Source organism: Homo sapiens, chromosome 1 (genome assembly GCF_000001405.40).
Source record: "Homo sapiens chromosome 1, GRCh38.p14 Primary Assembly".
NCBI classification, from domain to species: Eukaryota; Metazoa; Chordata; class Mammalia; order Primates; family Hominidae; genus Homo; species Homo sapiens.
In genome coordinates this window covers 229422600-229438836 of record NC_000001.11, presented here as the reverse complement: position 1 = coordinate 229438836, position 16237 = coordinate 229422600, and the positions used below count along the sequence as shown (strand labels likewise).

Below are 16237 nucleotides of genomic sequence, written 5' to 3'. Positions count from 1 at the left end.
CTGGGATTACAGGCACCCGCCATCATGCCTGGCTAATTTTTGTATTTTTAATAGAGACAGGGTTTCACCATGTTGGCCAGGCTGGTCTAGAACTCCTGACCTCAGGTGATCTGCCTGCCTCGGCCTCCCAAAGTGCTGGGATTATAGGCGTGAGCCACCACACTTGGCCGACTATCTTTTAAATGTACTGTGGCCTTTGGAAGCCATAAACCATTGTACTATCTGAATTTTTTTCACTCTCTAAGAACCAAGTTTTCCCCCTTTGAGAATGCCCATCTTAATTATTATTTAGAATACAATGTTTTAAATGCGTGATACTTTACCATATGGCAGAACCATAATTAATGTAACAGCCCTTATTCTCTTGCTGTAGCTCTCTCTCAAAAGACACATTTTTTTGACCATTTTAAATAATGCTAGAATAAATCTTTGTACAAAAATCTTTATGCCCTCCAAATACGGTGAACATGACATTGACTCTCCTTGCTCAGTTGCAGTGACATTGATGTGTGTATACTGAGCAGGCCAATGACTTTAATGTTCTTTTCTCACCTTTTCTGCCACTGCACTGTGTGCACCTGCCCCAAGCCCTTAGTCATTGGAAGCAAGACATGGCACCATGTGCTGAATGTTTCATATGTCTTAGGTACTCACCTAGTTTGTTGTTTTGTTTTTGGTTTTGGTTTTGGTTTTTTGAGACGGAGTCTTGCTCTGTTCCTAGGCTGGAGTGCAGTAGCGCAATCTCAGCTCACTGCAGCCTGTCTCTTGGGTTCAAGAGATTCTCCTGCCTCAGCCTCCCTAGTAGCTGGGATTACAGGCACCCGCCACCATGCCCAGCTAATTTTTTTGTATTTTTAGTAGAGACCAGGTTTCACCATGTTGGCCAGGCTGGTGTTGAACTCCTGACCTCAAGTGATCTGTCCACCTGGGCCTCCCAAAGTGCTGGGATTACAGACGTGAGCCACCGCACTCAGCTCTCACCTGGTTTTAATCCTCAGATCAGTCTTAAGGAGTATTGTGAGTTGAGAATGCTTTCTGGAAAGTCACTTGTCCAAGATCACATAGCCAGTCAGAGGGGAAGGTAAATGCAGCTCTGCTTGATTCCAGAATGCAAGCTCCTAACCAGTTCATGATATTCTGGGTATAAAGAATGTTGAAGAGAGGGCACTGCTCCAATGAATCATCAGGTTCTTAGAGGTGGCCATGAGTGCAAAAACCACCAGCTTCAGGAGGAGGAAAAAGTAGAAAATCCAAGCCCAAGCCCTTTCTTTGGGCTGCCAGGAGTTGACTCAACTTTTTTTTTTTTTTTTTTTTTGAGATGGAGTCTCTCTCTGTTGCCCAGGCCTGGCGTGCAGTGGTGGGATCTCGGCTCACTGCAACCTCTGCCTCCCAGGTTCAAGTGATTCTCCTGTCTCAGCCTCCCGAGTAGCTGGGATTATAGGTGTGCACCACCACGCCTGGCTAATTTTTGTGTTTTTAGTAGAGACGGGGTTTCACCATGTTGGCCAGGCTGGTCTTGAACTCCTGACCTCAAGTGATCCACCAGCCTCGGCTTCCCAAAGTGCTGGGATTACAGGCATGGGCCACCGCGCCTGGCCGACCCGACGTTTTTAAGTAGCTTGTGAGAATGAGTTGGTCTTTGTCTACCCTGTTCCTGGAATATCTCTAACTTGGAGTGCCCAGCCAGCCCCTCAAAGCTGAGTTTCTGGGGAAGCTACGGCTTTTCATGTCAGGATGTCTTTGGCTCATTACTGGGAAAGATCCCTCAAGGGCCTGTTCTGTTTCGAACTGTACCCAGTGTTGGTGAGGATTAGAGAGAAGCAGCAGTCCTTGCCCTCCCTGGCCACTGGCAGTAGAAGGAAGGACAGCCCAAGCCCGTCTCCTCCACTGGCTGCTGTGGAACCTGGGGTGTGTTTTAGCTCATTAAGCCTCAGTTTTCTTTAAAAAAGAAAAAAAACTGGAATGAGTAATACCTATCTTATTTACCTTAGGATAGTTAAACGGTTAATTGAAACACGAAAGCATATTATAAAGTGTTTTACCAATTCCTGTTTAAATTGATAGGAAACACAGTAGGAAGACTGGAACTGAGCAAGATTGGGGTACGGGTGTGTGGAGTGTTGAGGGGCACAATTGGAGAGAAGGGAAGTGTGAACACACCGGGGTAGTGGTAGCAGAAGGGCCCGGTCAGGGTATGAAGAGCTGAGGCTGCACCTGAAAACTTAGAAGCAGGAACTCCCTGTCAAGCATACCCTACATGGCTGACCTTTACTTAGTGACAGTTCTCAAAAGGCGGAGCAGGGCGCCGCTGCGCTCCCCCAAAACATACATGTATGGAGACGTGGCTCTGCCACCCACCATTCAGTCTATTCTCTAAGCCAATGAGAATGCAACAAGACCAGAATGGGACTGAGGGTGGCCTGTGGTGACCTGTCAGGGACTATTTAAACCAGCCGCAAATCATGTGGGCAGGGAACAGATGCCTGGCTGGCCACCTCAGGGGCCATCTCCCACAGTTTGCTGTACTAGCAGGTCTCTGTTCGCTTGTGAGTGTTTTTAATCATGGTCAGCTTTTAGTGTGGGTTTGAATGTAACAGACTGAGCTTAGAAAAGCTTTCTGTAAGGAAAGGTAAGAGTTGAACTGAGCAAGAGTTTTGAAAAATAGTGACAATCCCATTCTCCTTTGGAATGCGCACAAATATTGAGGTATCCAGTGAACGGCAGCAAATTTCCTACCTTCAAGGCCCAAATGTAAGCTAGTCCCCTTACGTTACATGCAGCTCATTTGCTAAGTGGTTTTTTTCTAGTATCTCCACTACTCGCTGACACAGGAGGACACAGGATGTTAAAAAGGAAATACAGTTCTGTCAATTATTCACTTACTCTCCAAAATACTTGGAAGAACTAAATATGGAACCATAGGAGACTTTATCCTCACCGCATAGTCCCTATACTAGTCAAACTCCTTATTTTTTAATTGATCATTTTTAGGAAGGTAGCATTTTATTCACTAGAACATTTTTGTTAATACTTGTTTATTTTTGGGATGAACTGCCATGATGTGGGCTACAGAGGAGGGTCGCATATGCTTCCATCCCCCTTTTAGAGAATCCACACCTGTCCCAGTTGCTGGGTTCCACTACCAAAAGTGAATTGCAACTATTTTAGGAGCACTTAAGCACATCCGAAAAATGAGTGATTCTGTTCTGGCCCACACCACATCACTGATGTACCCCCTTAAAGCATGTCCCTGAGTTCATCACAGAAGACTGCTCCTCCTGTGCCCTCCACAAGGTTAGAACTGTCCTTGTCTTAGGGAAAAAGGAGAGAGAGAGAGAGAGAGAGAGAGAGAGAGAGAGAGAGAGAGAGAGAGAGGGACAGGCACCAACTGGGTAACCTCTGCTGACCCCCACTCTACTTTACCATAAGTAGCTCCAAATCCTTCTAGAAAATCTGAAAGGCATAGCCCCATATATCAGTGATATAAATAGAACCTGCAGCAGGCTCTGGTAAATGATGACTACAAGGTGGACTGGGAGGCAGCCCGGCCTTGGCAGGCATCATCCTCTAAATATAAAGATGAGTTTGTTCAGCCTTTGCAGAAGGAAAAACTGCCACCCATCCTAGAGTGCCGCGTCCTTGTCCCCCCACCCCCTCCAATTTATTGGGAGGAAGGACCAGCTAAGCCTCATCTAGGAAGAGCCCCTCACCCATCTCCACCTCCACTCCAGGTCTAGCCAGTCCTGGGTTGTGACCCTTGTCTTTCAGCCCCAGGAGAGGGACACACATAGTGCCACCAAAGAGGCTGGGGGAGGGCCTCAGCCCACCAAAACCTGGGGCCAGTGCGTCCTACAGGAGGGGAACCCTCACCCCTTCAATCCCTTTAGGAGACCCAAGGGCGCTGCGCGTCCCTGAGGCGGACAGCTCCGTGTGCTCAGGCTTTGCGCCTGACAGGCCTATCCCCGGGAGCCCCCGCGCCTCCTCCCCGGCGCTCCGCCCTCGCCTCCCCCCGCCAGTTGTCTATCCTGCGACAGCTGCGCGCCCTCCGGCCGCCGGTGGCCCTCTGTGCGGTGGGGGAAGGGGTCGACGTGGCTCAGCTTTTTGGATTCAGGGAGCTCGGGGGTGGGAAGAGAGAAATGGAGTTCCAGGGGCGTAAAGGAGAGGGAGTTCGCCTTCCTTCCCTTCCTGAGACTCAGGAGTGACTGCTTCTCCAATCCTCCCAAGCCCACCACTCCACACGACTCCCTCTTCCCGGTAGTCGCAAGTGGGAGTTTGGGGATCTGAGCAAAGAACCCGAAGAGGAGTTGAAATATTGGAAGTCAGCAGTCAGGCACCTTCCCGAGCGCCCAGGGCGCTCAGAGTGGACATGGTTGGGGAGGCCTTTGGGACAGGTGCGGTTCCCGGAGCGCAGGCGCACACATGCACCCACCGGCGAACGCGGTGACCCTCGCCCCACCCCATCCCCTCCGGCGGGCAACTGGGTCGGGTCAGGAGGGGCAAACCCGCTAGGGAGACACTCCATATACGGCCCGGCCCGCGTTACCTGGGACCGGGCCAACCCGCTCCTTCTTTGGTCAACGCAGGGGACCCGGGCGGGGGCCCAGGCCGCGAACCGGCCGAGGGAGGGGGCTCTAGTGCCCAACACCCAAATATGGCTCGAGAAGGGCAGCGACATTCCTGCGGGGTGGCGCGGAGGGAATGCCCGCGGGCTATATAAAACCTGAGCAGAGGGACAAGCGGCCACCGCAGCGGACAGCGCCAAGTGAAGCCTCGCTTCCCCTCCGCGGCGACCAGGGCCCGAGCCGAGAGTAGCAGTTGTAGCTACCCGCCCAGGTAGGGCAGGAGTTGGGAGGGGACAGGGGGACAGGGCACTACCGAGGGGAACCTGAAGGACTCCGGGGCAGAACCCAGTCGGTTCACCTGGTCAGCCCCAGGCCTGCGCCCTGAGCGCTGTGCCTCGTCTCCGGAGCCACACGCGCTTTAAAAAGGAGGCAAGACAGTCAGCCTCTGGAAATTAGACTTCTCCAAATTTTTCTCTAGCCCCTTTGGGCTCCTTTACCTGGCATGTAGGATGTGCCTAGGGAGATAAACGGTTTTGCTTTAGTTGTCGCCAAGGCAGTTCCCTTCCAAACTAGCGCTAGAGCGAATGAGCGAGCAGCCAGGACCACCCATTCTGGGTTTCCAACAGGCGAAAAGGCCCTTTCTGAGTTTGAAATGTCACAGGGTTCCTAACAGGCCACTCTTCCCTGGATGGGGTGCCAACGCCTTTCCCATGGGCATCTCCTTCCACCCTCACGCTGGCCCAGCAAGCAGGCAGTGCTGAGGCCTTATCTCCCTAGGTGACAGATGTGGTCAGGGAGGCGCAGAGAGGATGGGCACTAGCGTCCAGCTCCTGGAACAGGTGTCAGGCAGGGAGGGCAGACAGGTCTTGGGGAACATGTTCCCCTGGCTATGTGGACAGAGGACTTCTCAGTGGGGTCTCGCGACCCTGTGCCCCTTTTCCTGGTTCAGGGCAGCCCTTAGCCGGGGCAAAGGTCGAGAAGAGAACCCCTGGTCGCCGCCCTGGCAGAATTTGAGTGGCTCCGGCAGGAGATGTCCCTAGGTTCCTGGGGAGGGAGGACGTCGGGGCCAGCCAGGCTTACCCCCCCCTGCCGCTGAGACTTCTGCGCTGATGCACCGCGCCTCTTCGCGGTCTCCCTGTCCTTGCAGAAACTAGACACAATGTGCGACGAAGACGAGACCACCGCCCTCGTGTGCGACAATGGCTCCGGCCTGGTGAAAGCCGGCTTCGCCGGGGATGACGCCCCTAGGGCCGTGTTCCCGTCCATCGTGGGCCGCCCCCGACACCAGGTCAGGCTGCCCCTCCGCAGAGGGAGCCGGCTCGGGGTCCCCGCGTAAGCCAGCCTGGTGCCACCCGGAGCGGCGTTAACGGGTGCGTGGTGTCTCGGCTCTGCAGGGCGTCATGGTCGGTATGGGTCAGAAAGATTCCTACGTGGGCGACGAGGCTCAGAGCAAGAGAGGTATCCTGACCCTGAAGTACCCTATCGAGCACGGCATCATCACCAACTGGGATGACATGGAGAAGATCTGGCACCACACCTTCTACAACGAGCTTCGCGTGGCTCCCGAGGAGCACCCCACCCTGCTCACCGAGGCCCCCCTCAATCCCAAGGCCAACCGCGAGAAGATGACCCAGATCATGTTTGAGACCTTCAACGTGCCCGCCATGTACGTGGCCATCCAGGCCGTGCTGTCCCTCTACGCCTCCGGCAGGACCACCGGTGAGTGCCCGCTGCCCCCAGTCCCCTCTCCCGCCCCCGCCCCCGCCCCCGCCCCCGCCGCTAGCGCTGAGAGCCTAGCCTCGGCCTCGCCCCCAGCCACTCACTCTCTCCCGCGCGCGCACAGGCATCGTGCTGGACTCCGGCGACGGCGTCACCCACAACGTGCCCATTTATGAGGGCTACGCGCTGCCGCACGCCATCATGCGCCTGGACCTGGCGGGCCGCGATCTCACCGACTACCTGATGAAGATCCTCACTGAGCGTGGCTACTCCTTCGTGACCACAGGTGCGCGGCGCCCCTGCACCCCGGGCGGGAGGGCCGGCGGCGGCCCCTGAGTGAGGGCTCCTCTCCTGCTTCTGCCCTCCGCAGCTGAGCGCGAGATCGTGCGCGACATCAAGGAGAAGCTGTGCTACGTGGCCCTGGACTTCGAGAACGAGATGGCGACGGCCGCCTCCTCCTCCTCCCTGGAAAAGAGCTACGAGCTGCCAGACGGGCAGGTCATCACCATCGGCAACGAGCGCTTCCGCTGCCCGGAGACGCTCTTCCAGCCCTCCTTCATCGGTGAGCCCCGCTCGCCCTCGCCCCGGCCCCCAGGCCCCGCCGGCCCCCGGCGCCCCGAGCTTCTGCTCACGCTCCCCGCCGCGGTCCCCAGGTATGGAGTCGGCGGGCATTCACGAGACCACCTACAACAGCATCATGAAGTGTGACATCGACATCAGGAAGGACCTGTATGCCAACAACGTCATGTCGGGGGGCACCACGATGTACCCTGGGATCGCTGACCGCATGCAGAAAGAGATCACCGCGCTGGCACCCAGCACCATGAAGATCAAGGTGGGTGGTGGCCTGCGCGGGCTGTCGGCGGGGTGGGCTCCAGGGTGAGGTCTCCCCACCTCACGCGCTGTCTTGCAGATCATCGCCCCGCCGGAGCGCAAATACTCGGTGTGGATCGGCGGCTCCATCCTGGCCTCGCTGTCCACCTTCCAGCAGATGTGGATCACCAAGCAGGAGTACGACGAGGCCGGCCCTTCCATCGTCCACCGCAAATGCTTCTAGACACACTCCACCTCCAGCACGCGACTTCTCAGGACGACGAATCTTCTCAATGGGGGGGCGGCTGAGCTCCAGCCACCCCGCAGTCACTTTCTTTGTAACAACTTCCGTTGCTGCCATCGTAAACTGACACAGTGTTTATAACGTGTACATACATTAACTTATTACCTCATTTTGTTATTTTTCGAAACAAAGCCCTGTGGAAGAAAATGGAAAACTTGAAGAAGCATTAAAGTCATTCTGTTAAGCTGCGTAAAGTGGTCGTGTTTATTTGCTTGGGGCGGGAGTGGAGCAGGAAGAGGGATTCCCATCCCCCACATCCTCTTAAGTCACTTTTCACGATACCCCAAATGAATGGGCTCCTTGGAAGACAAAACTTACATCTTCCCATGCTCCCCTGCCGGTTTCTGCAGTGGATCAGATCCATTCCAGATCACTGGCAGCTAGTGGTGGCCTGACTTGACCCTCTGGGGTGTGGCGAGGCAGCTTTCTTCCTCTGCGCAGCGCTCCCGAGTGTTGCCAGCACTGCCGGGGCGGCCTCCGCTGGTGGCCCTGGGTCCCCTCAGGCAGCGGGCGCTGACCATGGTGCTGGGGCTGGAGAGCTGTTTCTCAGAGGGCGTCTCAGCTCCGCCTATGGTGTTCCCCTACTGAATCTCCAGATCTGAGAGGGGGTTGTGTTCTGCATGTAACAAGTCATTTTGTTTTTGTTTTTGTTTTTGTTTTTTAATAGAGACAGGGTCTCGCCCTGTCGCCCACGGTGGAGAGCAGTGGTGTGATCAGAGCCCAACTGTATCCTCTAATTGAGCTCAAGGGGTCCTCCCACCTCAGCCTCCCCAGTTGCTAATATTTTCGCATGTGCCACCGCGTCCAGCCAGTTTTTTATTTTTATTGTAGAGACAGGGTCTCAGGGTCTTGTTATGCTGCCCAGGCTGGTCTCGAACTCCTGGCCACAAGCAATGCTTCTGCCTCAGCCCCTCAAAGTTCTGGGATTACAGGTCTGTGCCACTATGTCCAGGCTTAATAAATGAGTTTTAATTTGCAAGTGAAGACCGTCACTGCCTCTCTCCAATGGGGAAGTCCTTTGCTTCACACCAGGTGCTGCTGGTAGAAAGAAACACCCCCTCGTGCAGGACCTGGGAAGGAGGCAAGGGAGGGCCAAGTGAGAGCTCCAGAAAGAAGGGCAGCAAAGAAGCGTCGGAGGGGTGGGAAGCTGAGGCTCACGCTGGAAGACGGGGAGGTAAGCAAGGGGAGGAGGAACACCCTCACCCCCAAAACAAGTTTTAAAGGCATCAAATTTATCAACAGTTTGAACTTCTGTGGGAGAGTGCAATACCTATTCCTTAAAGGGAGCTTAATGTTTCCTAGTCAAGTTTCTCAAGAGCAGTGGCCCCTAAATATAATGGATTCAGACTCAAAGTAATAAACTCGTTTGTAAATAAGTTTATAGCTGCAATTGACAAAATAGCTATGTTACATGCCACGTAGTCATATGTTTAATCCCTCATCTTCTGGCTTATTGAAAAACTTCAGAAATCTTTGAGGCCTCAAAAGGCATGGTACTGTCAAATCCAGATATCAAGAGAGTTGACAATATTGCTAAAATTTAAGATTTTAATAAAAGAAGTATATAATACCATGTTCATTGAAAACCTTGTATTGTCCCACTCAGGGTGGATGAAGGTTAAAAATGGGCTAAATACTAGTCTTTCAGAGGTATACAGCTTTTGTTGATAATACTAACCACATATATACATATCTGATATAATAATACTCTAACATATTGGTAATATTGAATATGCAAAGGCATATCTGAGCAAACATAACCTACACACACATAGCTTAAATAATTCATTCGTGGCCAGATGCAGTGGCTCACACCTGTAATCTCAGCACTTTGGGAGGCCGAGGTGGGCGGATCACTTGAGGCCAGGAGTTCGAGACCAGCCTGTCCAGCGTGGTGAAACCCTGCCTCTACTAAAAATACAAAAATTAGCTAGTCATGGTGGTGTGCACCTGTAGTCCCAGCTACTCGGAACGCGGAAGTGGGAGAATCACTTGAGCCCCAAGAGGCAGAGCTTGCAGTGAGCCAAGATTATGCCACTGCAATCCAGCCTGGGTGCAGTGAGACCCTGTTTCAAAAATAAATAAATAAATTCATTCATGTAGCCAGCAGCCTGGTAAAATATCACTATTACATGTGTTAGCTGACTGTCATGCTAACGATTTTTGAACCAGAACCCTAAATCAATTGGGATTTAAGTAAGATATGTAAGGTCTATTTCTCCTATGATCATAATCTGTAAATGACTCATAATAGTTTAGAACTGACAGAAGTTTTCAATACACTGTGATAGTGTTTTGTCAAGTGCCAATTTTTAAAACCCATCATTGACATTACTGTTTTACCAAAAATAAGTGCAAAAATTATAAATTACATGTTTTCACTGGAAATGCACGAAATCTAAAAAAATCATTTATTATTTATTTATTTTGAGATGGAGTCTCGCATTGTCACCCAGACTAGAGTGCAGTGGCTCAATCTCGGCTCACTGCAACTTCTGCCTCCTGGGCTCAAACAATTCTCCTGCCTCAGCCTCCCCGGTAGCTGGGATTACAGGTGTGCACCGCACCTGGCTAATTTTTGTATTTTTAGTAGAGACAGGGTTTCACCATGTTGGCCAGGCTGGTCTTGAACTCCTGACCTCAAGTGATCTGCCTGCCTCGGCCTCCCAAAGTGCTGGGATTACAGGCATGAGCCACCACGCCTGGCCAAAAATGCCATTTCTTTTCTGACACTTCTCTAAAAGGAAACAAGCATCTTGCATTTTATTAGTATTCCATATCTTTTCTGCTCTCATATTGGGTTGTGGCTACAGGTATTTTGTAAATTGTGTTACCAATATTAGGCCTGAAAGAGGATTTTTTCTGTGGTGTGGTGTGGTCAGGAATGAATCTTTAAAAACAATCTAGAACATATACAAATATTTGTACTACATGAGGACAGAAGTAACTATTTTCAGCAGCTACACAGGTGTTTGTGGTAACAAGAACCAAGACCCTGCGTGGCAACACTGTGCTGGGCCTTGCAGAGGGGATATGCCATAGCAGACTTCCCACCGAAAAGCCCTCTCAGAGAATCCATTTAGAGCTGTGAGAGAAGTGAAGGCCACAGGGATTCCCCCCACCTATTGCTTACCGTGTTTCCTTAGATGTGGAAACAGGACTCATCAAGGCTCTAACTGGACTTATTTCCTTCTCATAAAAGCTCATTAAGTTGCCACTAAAATTTTTCCCTACTAAATCTATATTACTATTGTACAGGAGGAGAACGACAGGGGAAAGAAGAAAATGGAAAGAGACAGTGTGTCCAGATTAAAGCGTGGGACTAGGATTGAGAAAAAAGAATGAAAGGTCTCAGGACTCGGGCACACCCTGGGCTCTCTCATTTAAACCTTTGGAGGTTAGAATTTGGGGATATCAAGGTCCTTCCTGCTGCATCTGTCCCATGGTCTATTGCATTCACCTCAGATGTGGCAGAACGTACAAAGGGTTAGTGAACTATTGTATTGCCCAGCTTCTTGGTTTTTTGTTTTATTTTTCTAGAGACAGAGTCTAGCTCTGTTGCCCAGGCTGGAGTGCAGTAATGTGATCATAGCTCACTGTAGCCTTAAGCTCCTGGGCTCAAATGATGCTCCTGCCTCAGCCTCCCAAGTAGCTAGGACTACAAGCATGTACCACCACACTGGCTAATTTTTTTTTATTTTACGTAGAGATGGGGTCTTGCTCTGTTGCCCAGGACAATCTTGAACTCCTGGGCTCAACTGATCCTCCTACCTTGGCCTCCCAAAGTGTTGGGACTGCAGGCGTGAGCCACCATGCCTGGCCATATTGCTCAGCTTCTATGTGCAAAGGGTACAGAAAAGGCCAAGATATGTCCCATCCCTAGGATTCTGCTGCCATGATCCTTATCACGACTAGCCTCTCATGCCTTGGCTCTTTTTGTTAAAATGTATTTTTATTTTTTATATTTTAGAGACAGGGTCTCACTGTCTCACCCAGGCTAGAGTGCAGTGGTCCAGTCATAGCTCACTGCAGCCTTGATCTCCTGGGCTCAAGCGATCCTCCTGCTTCAGCCTTCAAAAGCAGAGATTGCAGGTGCGAGCCACTGTGCTTGCCCCCTGCCCCGCCCCCCATCCTTTTTTTAAGACAGGGTTTCACTAGGTTTCCCAGGCTGGTCTAGTAGCTGGGATTACAGGCATGGGCTGTGATACTAGGCTCTTCTTGAGTCTCTTTTTGCCACAGAGCACACTGGGGGCTGCTGGCGGAGAGGAGGTGGGGGCACCACCTGACTGTGAACTGTTTGGATTCTGTGGGTGCTGGGCTGTTTCTCACTCTGTGCAGTTAGTTGTGACTGTGAGGCTGCTCCACTGCACAGTATTGCTTTCTGACAAGATGGGATGAGTTCCAGATCCTCGTTCTTATGGAGGAAACACATCCCTTATTGTGCTCAAGAAGGCCTGCTTCTCTCCCCAGCTCCAGGGACATAGAAAGTGGCATGGCCTCACCCAGCAGTGCCTCAGCTAGAAGGACTGCAGGGAAATGGGCTCTGCCCATGGGGTCAGCCTGCCTGCCTGCCTCTCCTCTTTGTCTCCCTTTCTGTCCCTTCCATTTCCTTTCTGCCCTGCTATGTCCTCTGGAAAGTATTCGTTTTACCACTGTCGCTATGTCCTAGGGCTTTTGAGGAGCTACCACAAGCTTTTGAGCTTCACTGTGGCTCTCAAAAAGAAGCTGAGGAAGCCTGCTTTCTTGGTTAGACAGGTGGCATGCTGGGAACACGGGGGTCCCATGTCCACCTGCATCCTTGTCACTCCCAGCCAGAGCACTGTTAGGGAAGGCCATGGGCTGCGACTTCCAAAAGGGGTGTGAGGTGGCAGAAGCAACTGCAGGGTAGCTCATGGGAGACAGGAACATGGGCGGCTCCCCCAGGGCCATCCATATCACGTAGGAAGCTGGTGGGCCTGTCACTGGGTGAAGGATCCCCAAGCACTTGACTGGCCCTGCCTTCCTTGTCAATTTCTTAATGGCTTATCCTGATATTAAACCATTTCTGGGGATGGTGAGTGAGGGAAAGGGAAATTTTGAAGGGTGGAAAGATGACATTGGTGGTTCTCATGGGTGTGAATAGAATCAGGATTGCCTTTACCACCCCATTTTCTCCAATTCCCTACACGGTGCCTGGTGCCTGTGTTCTGTTCTTCTGGCTGCTGTAACAAAGTACCACAAAATGAGTGGCTTCAAACAACAGGAGTTTATTCTCACAGTTCTGGGGGCCAGGAGCCTAGAATCCTGGTGCTGGCAGGATAGGTTCCTTCTGAAGGCTCTGAGGGAGAATCTTTCCATGCCTCTCCCAGCTTCTGGTGGTTGCCAGCAATTCTTGGTGTTCCTTGGCTTGTAGATGCATCACTCCAACCTCTGCCTCCGTCTCCACATGGCCTTCTTCCCCGTGTGTTTCAATGTATCTCTGTGTGTTCACCTGACTGCTGCCTTCCTCCTCCCCCTCCTCCTCCTCCTCTCATCCCCTCCTCCTCTTCCTCCTCCTTCTCTTCTCTTCTTCCTCCTCCTCCTCTTCTCTTCTTCCTCCTCCTCCTCTTCTCTTCTTCCTCCTCCTCCTCTTCTCTTCTTCCTCCTCCTCCTTCTCTTCTCTTCTTCCTCCTCCTCCTCCTCTTCTCCTCATCCTCCCCCTCCTCCTCCTCTTCCTCTTCTCATCCTCCCCCCTCCTCCTCTTTCTTCTCCTTCCCTCCTCCTCCTCTTCTTCAACCAGAAATCTTAATTTTTTTACACCTATTATGCCACAGTTTCATAGAGAATAGGTTCCAGCAGCTCAGGCTTCTTTGGTTCTCATGAAGTGTGCTGTTCCAGGTGAGGTAGGCTGGTGTTTCTGTTGAACATAGGTACCTTTCTCTTTGGCTTCTTTCTTTTACTGATCTTTTTTGTTCAATGTGTTTTAGGAATTTATCTTGTGTGCCTAACATTCTCAATAACAACATTTATTATCTTGGCAAGAATATTGCCCTTAACTTGTTTGTCTGTAACAATGTCAACAGCATGCTGGGTAACGTTGTATTTGTGGGACATTCCCCCCACTTCTTTTTTTTTGAGGCAGAGTCTCACTTACTCTGTCACCTAGGCTGGAGTACAGTGGCATGATCTCGGCTCACTGCAACCTCCGTCTCCTGGGTTCAAGTGACTCTCATGCCTCAGCCTCCTGAGTAGCTGGGATTACAAGTTCGTGCCACCACTCCCATCTAATTTTTGTATTTTTAGTAGAGACGGGGTTTTGCCATGTTGGCCAGGCTGGTCTCAAACTCCTGGCCTCAAGCGATCCACCCACCTCAGCCTCCCAAAGTGCTGGGATTACAGGCGTGAGTCACTGCACCCTGCCTGACATTCCCTTTTGAACAGTGCCCATTCCCTTGATGTCATCAGAAAGATTCAAAATAAAAGATATAGCAGACACTCCTATGCATCCATGATTATGGCTAAAATTAAAAAGACTGGTAACACCAAATATTGGCAAGCATGTGGAGTAACTGAAATTCTCATACTCTGTTAAGTGGGAATATAAAATGATACAACTTTGGAAAGGCATTTGGCAGTTTCTTATAAAACTAAACATACAACTATTCTAATACCTGAGAATTTCACCCCTAGGAATTTACCCATGAAGCATAAAAACATATGTTCAAAAAGAGACTTGAGCAAGAATGCTAATAGCAGCTTTATTCATAAAAGTAGAAACTGGTAACAGCTTGGGTATCCATCAACAAGAAAAGGAATAAACAAACTGTGTGTATGCTTATAATGAATACTACATAGCAATAAAAAGGAACAAACCGTTGATACACAAAACAACATGATGGATCCCTAGAACATGCTGAGTAAAAGAAAATTTACACAGAGCAGTATATACTGTAATTTGAGAATAGGCAAAACTAGGAAAAAAAATTAGAACTGTGGTTGCCACTGGAGAGTGGAGAAGGAGATTAAGAACCAGCATTATGAAACTTTTGGTGGTGATGAAAATGTTCTATATCTTGAGAAAGGATTGGGATATACAGGTTAAATTCAGGACTGTACCCTTAAGGTGTGCATTTTACTTCACATGCCTTCTAATAGAAGCAAAATTTTTTGTAAGCAAAAACTAGGGTGTCAGAACTTCTTGATATTCTTTACATTTTATTTAATTTTTATTTTTTATAATTTTTTTGAGACAGGGTCTTGCTCTGTCACCCAGACTGGAGTGCAGTGGCATGATCACAGCTCAGTGCAGTGATCCTCCCACTTCAGCCTTCCAAGTAGCTGGGACTACAGGTATGTGCCACCACACCCAGCTGAAAAAAAAAAAAATGTAGAGACAAAGTCTTGCTGTTTCCCAGGCTGCTTACATTTTACAACTTTGCAACTTCTTTTCTGTATTTTTATGGGGGGTTTTTTTGAATGGCATTGTAGGTAATTTCCTCCAGCTGATCTTCCAGTTCACTAACTCTTCCTTTAACTTGCTTAATATCCTGTTAACCAATATCATTGAGTTTTAAATTTCTATTTAAAATTTATTTTAAATTTAAATTAAATTTAATTGAGTATTAAATTTTTTTGTTTTAGAAATTGTTTTATTATTTTCCAAATCAACTAGGTCACATTCTTATAGTTTTCTGTTCCCTGAAAAAATTTGTTATTTTATCTTTTACTTCTTTAACAGAGCAAGCATAGTTTCTTAATAATACAGATATGAGGCCGGGTGCAGTGGCTCATGCCTGTAATCCCAGCACTTTGGGAGGCCAAGGCGGGTGGATCACCTGAGGCCAGGAGTTCAAGACCAGCCTGGTCAATATGGTGAAACCCCGTCTGTACTAAAATACAAAAATTAGCTGGGTGTGGTGTCACATGCCCGTAATCCCAGCTACTCAGGGGGCTGAGGCAATAGAATCACTTGAACCCAGGAGGCAGAGGTTGCAGTGAGCCAAGATCATGCCACTGCACTTCACCCTGGGCAACAGAGTGAGATTCTGTCTCAAAATAATAATAATAATAATAATAATAATAATAATAATATAGATATGATAATCCCAGTGGCTGAAATCATTGTGTTTGTTTCTGTTATTTCTGCTTTAGTTCTTACTCCTGCTGCCTTGTTTCCATGTGCACTTAAATGTGCCACGTTCATTGTCCTTGAAGAGTTACTTGTGGGACACTTAGAATAAAGGTGACTCTCCCCAGAGAGGGTCTGTGTTTGCTTCTCCCAGAAAAACGCTTCTAATCCAAGACCGTGTTAAAGTAAATTCAAAGCTTTAGGACGCTTGGTCCCCCAGGTGATATGAATTATGAATCTGTCCTGCAACTACACATGAGAACTGAGTTTATATTTACCATTTCCTAGAAGTTTGCATTCCATCCCATACCATGACCATCAGCATTCCATACCAAGACCATGCGCTCAGTGCCAAGACAAGTTGCAAATTCCCTGAGTGTAGGTGTAGGGTAGGGTTAGCTTATAGTTCACTGCTATAAGCTTACCCAATGGTGTAGACCTTCAGGGTCTTAGTTTCCTGTAAGGAGGCCCCAGGCTTTGCAAAGCTGTTAAACCCCAAGTGCAGGGTAGTTGGAATAAGCAAACACTCTCCGGACAAGAGCTATTTCTAGGATCCTTGCACTTACAGCTTTTCTTAAATTTTGGCTAATTCTTTTTTTGGTCTGAATTTTAAAAAAATATTTATTTATTTATTATTTTTTAGAGACAGGGTCTCACTATGTTGCCCAGGCTGATCTTGAACTCCTGGGCTCAAACGATCCTCCTGCCTCAGCCTCCTGAGTAGCTGCCACTACAGGCACATGCCATCATGCC

The 16237-nt window shown here is 49.6% G+C and overlaps 1 protein-coding gene across 1 annotated transcript, besides 6 other annotated features; it reads left to right on the top strand.

Annotated features, from left to right (window-relative positions):
• Nucleotides 524–603: a silencer, noted in NCBI's record as "silent region_1929". NCBI's record gives its function as "represses an Ori minimal core promoter by ATAC-STARR-seq in GM12878 lymphoblastoid cells {active_cell/tissue: GM12878}" and the evidence as "EXISTENCE:reporter gene assay evidence [ECO:0000049][PMID:35858748]".
• Nucleotides 1069–1269: a silencer, noted in NCBI's record as "peak754 fragment used in MPRA reporter construct". NCBI's record gives its function as "represses an SCP1 promoter by STARR-seq MPRAs in K562 erythroleukemia cells {active_cell/tissue: K562}" and the evidence as "EXISTENCE:reporter gene assay evidence [ECO:0000049][PMID:32103011]".
• Nucleotides 4741–5035: a silencer, noted in NCBI's record as "tiled region #2214; K562 Repressive non-DNase unmatched - State 21:Repr". NCBI's record gives its function as "represses a minimal TATA promoter and a strong SV40 promoter by Sharpr-MPRA in K562 cells {active_cell/tissue: K562}" and the evidence as "EXISTENCE:reporter gene assay evidence [ECO:0000049][PMID:27701403]".
• ACTA1 (actin alpha 1, skeletal muscle) lies at nucleotides 4743–7592 on the top strand. The gene is made up of 7 exons (NM_001100.4): nucleotides 4743–4833; nucleotides 5710–5850; nucleotides 5957–6281; nucleotides 6406–6567; nucleotides 6652–6843; nucleotides 6935–7116; nucleotides 7195–7592. The coding sequence occupies exons 2-7, from the start codon at nucleotides 5722–5724 to the stop codon at nucleotides 7336–7338; spliced, it is 1134 nt and encodes a 377-aa protein (NP_001091.1). The 5' UTR covers nucleotides 4743–4833; nucleotides 5710–5721; the 3' UTR covers nucleotides 7339–7592.
• Nucleotides 6500–7121: an enhancer, noted in NCBI's record as "H3K27ac-H3K4me1 hESC enhancer chr1:229567463-229568084 (GRCh37/hg19 assembly coordinates)". NCBI's record gives its function as "activates a minimal SCP1, AML or CMV promoter by ChIP-STARR-seq in naive H9 embryonic stem cells {active_cell/tissue: H9 hESC(naive)}" and the evidence as "EXISTENCE:reporter gene assay evidence [ECO:0000049][PMID:30033119]".
• Nucleotides 7122–7741: an enhancer, noted in NCBI's record as "H3K27ac-H3K4me1 hESC enhancer chr1:229566843-229567462 (GRCh37/hg19 assembly coordinates)". NCBI's record gives its function as "activates a minimal SCP1, AML or CMV promoter by ChIP-STARR-seq in naive H9 embryonic stem cells {active_cell/tissue: H9 hESC(naive)}" and the evidence as "EXISTENCE:reporter gene assay evidence [ECO:0000049][PMID:30033119]".
• Nucleotides 7781–8075: a silencer, noted in NCBI's record as "tiled region #11409; HepG2 Repressive DNase matched - State 12:CtcfO, and K562 Repressive DNase unmatched - State 4:PromP". NCBI's record gives its function as "represses a minimal TATA promoter and a strong SV40 promoter by Sharpr-MPRA in HepG2 and K562 cells {active_cell/tissue: HepG2 | K562}" and the evidence as "EXISTENCE:reporter gene assay evidence [ECO:0000049][PMID:27701403]".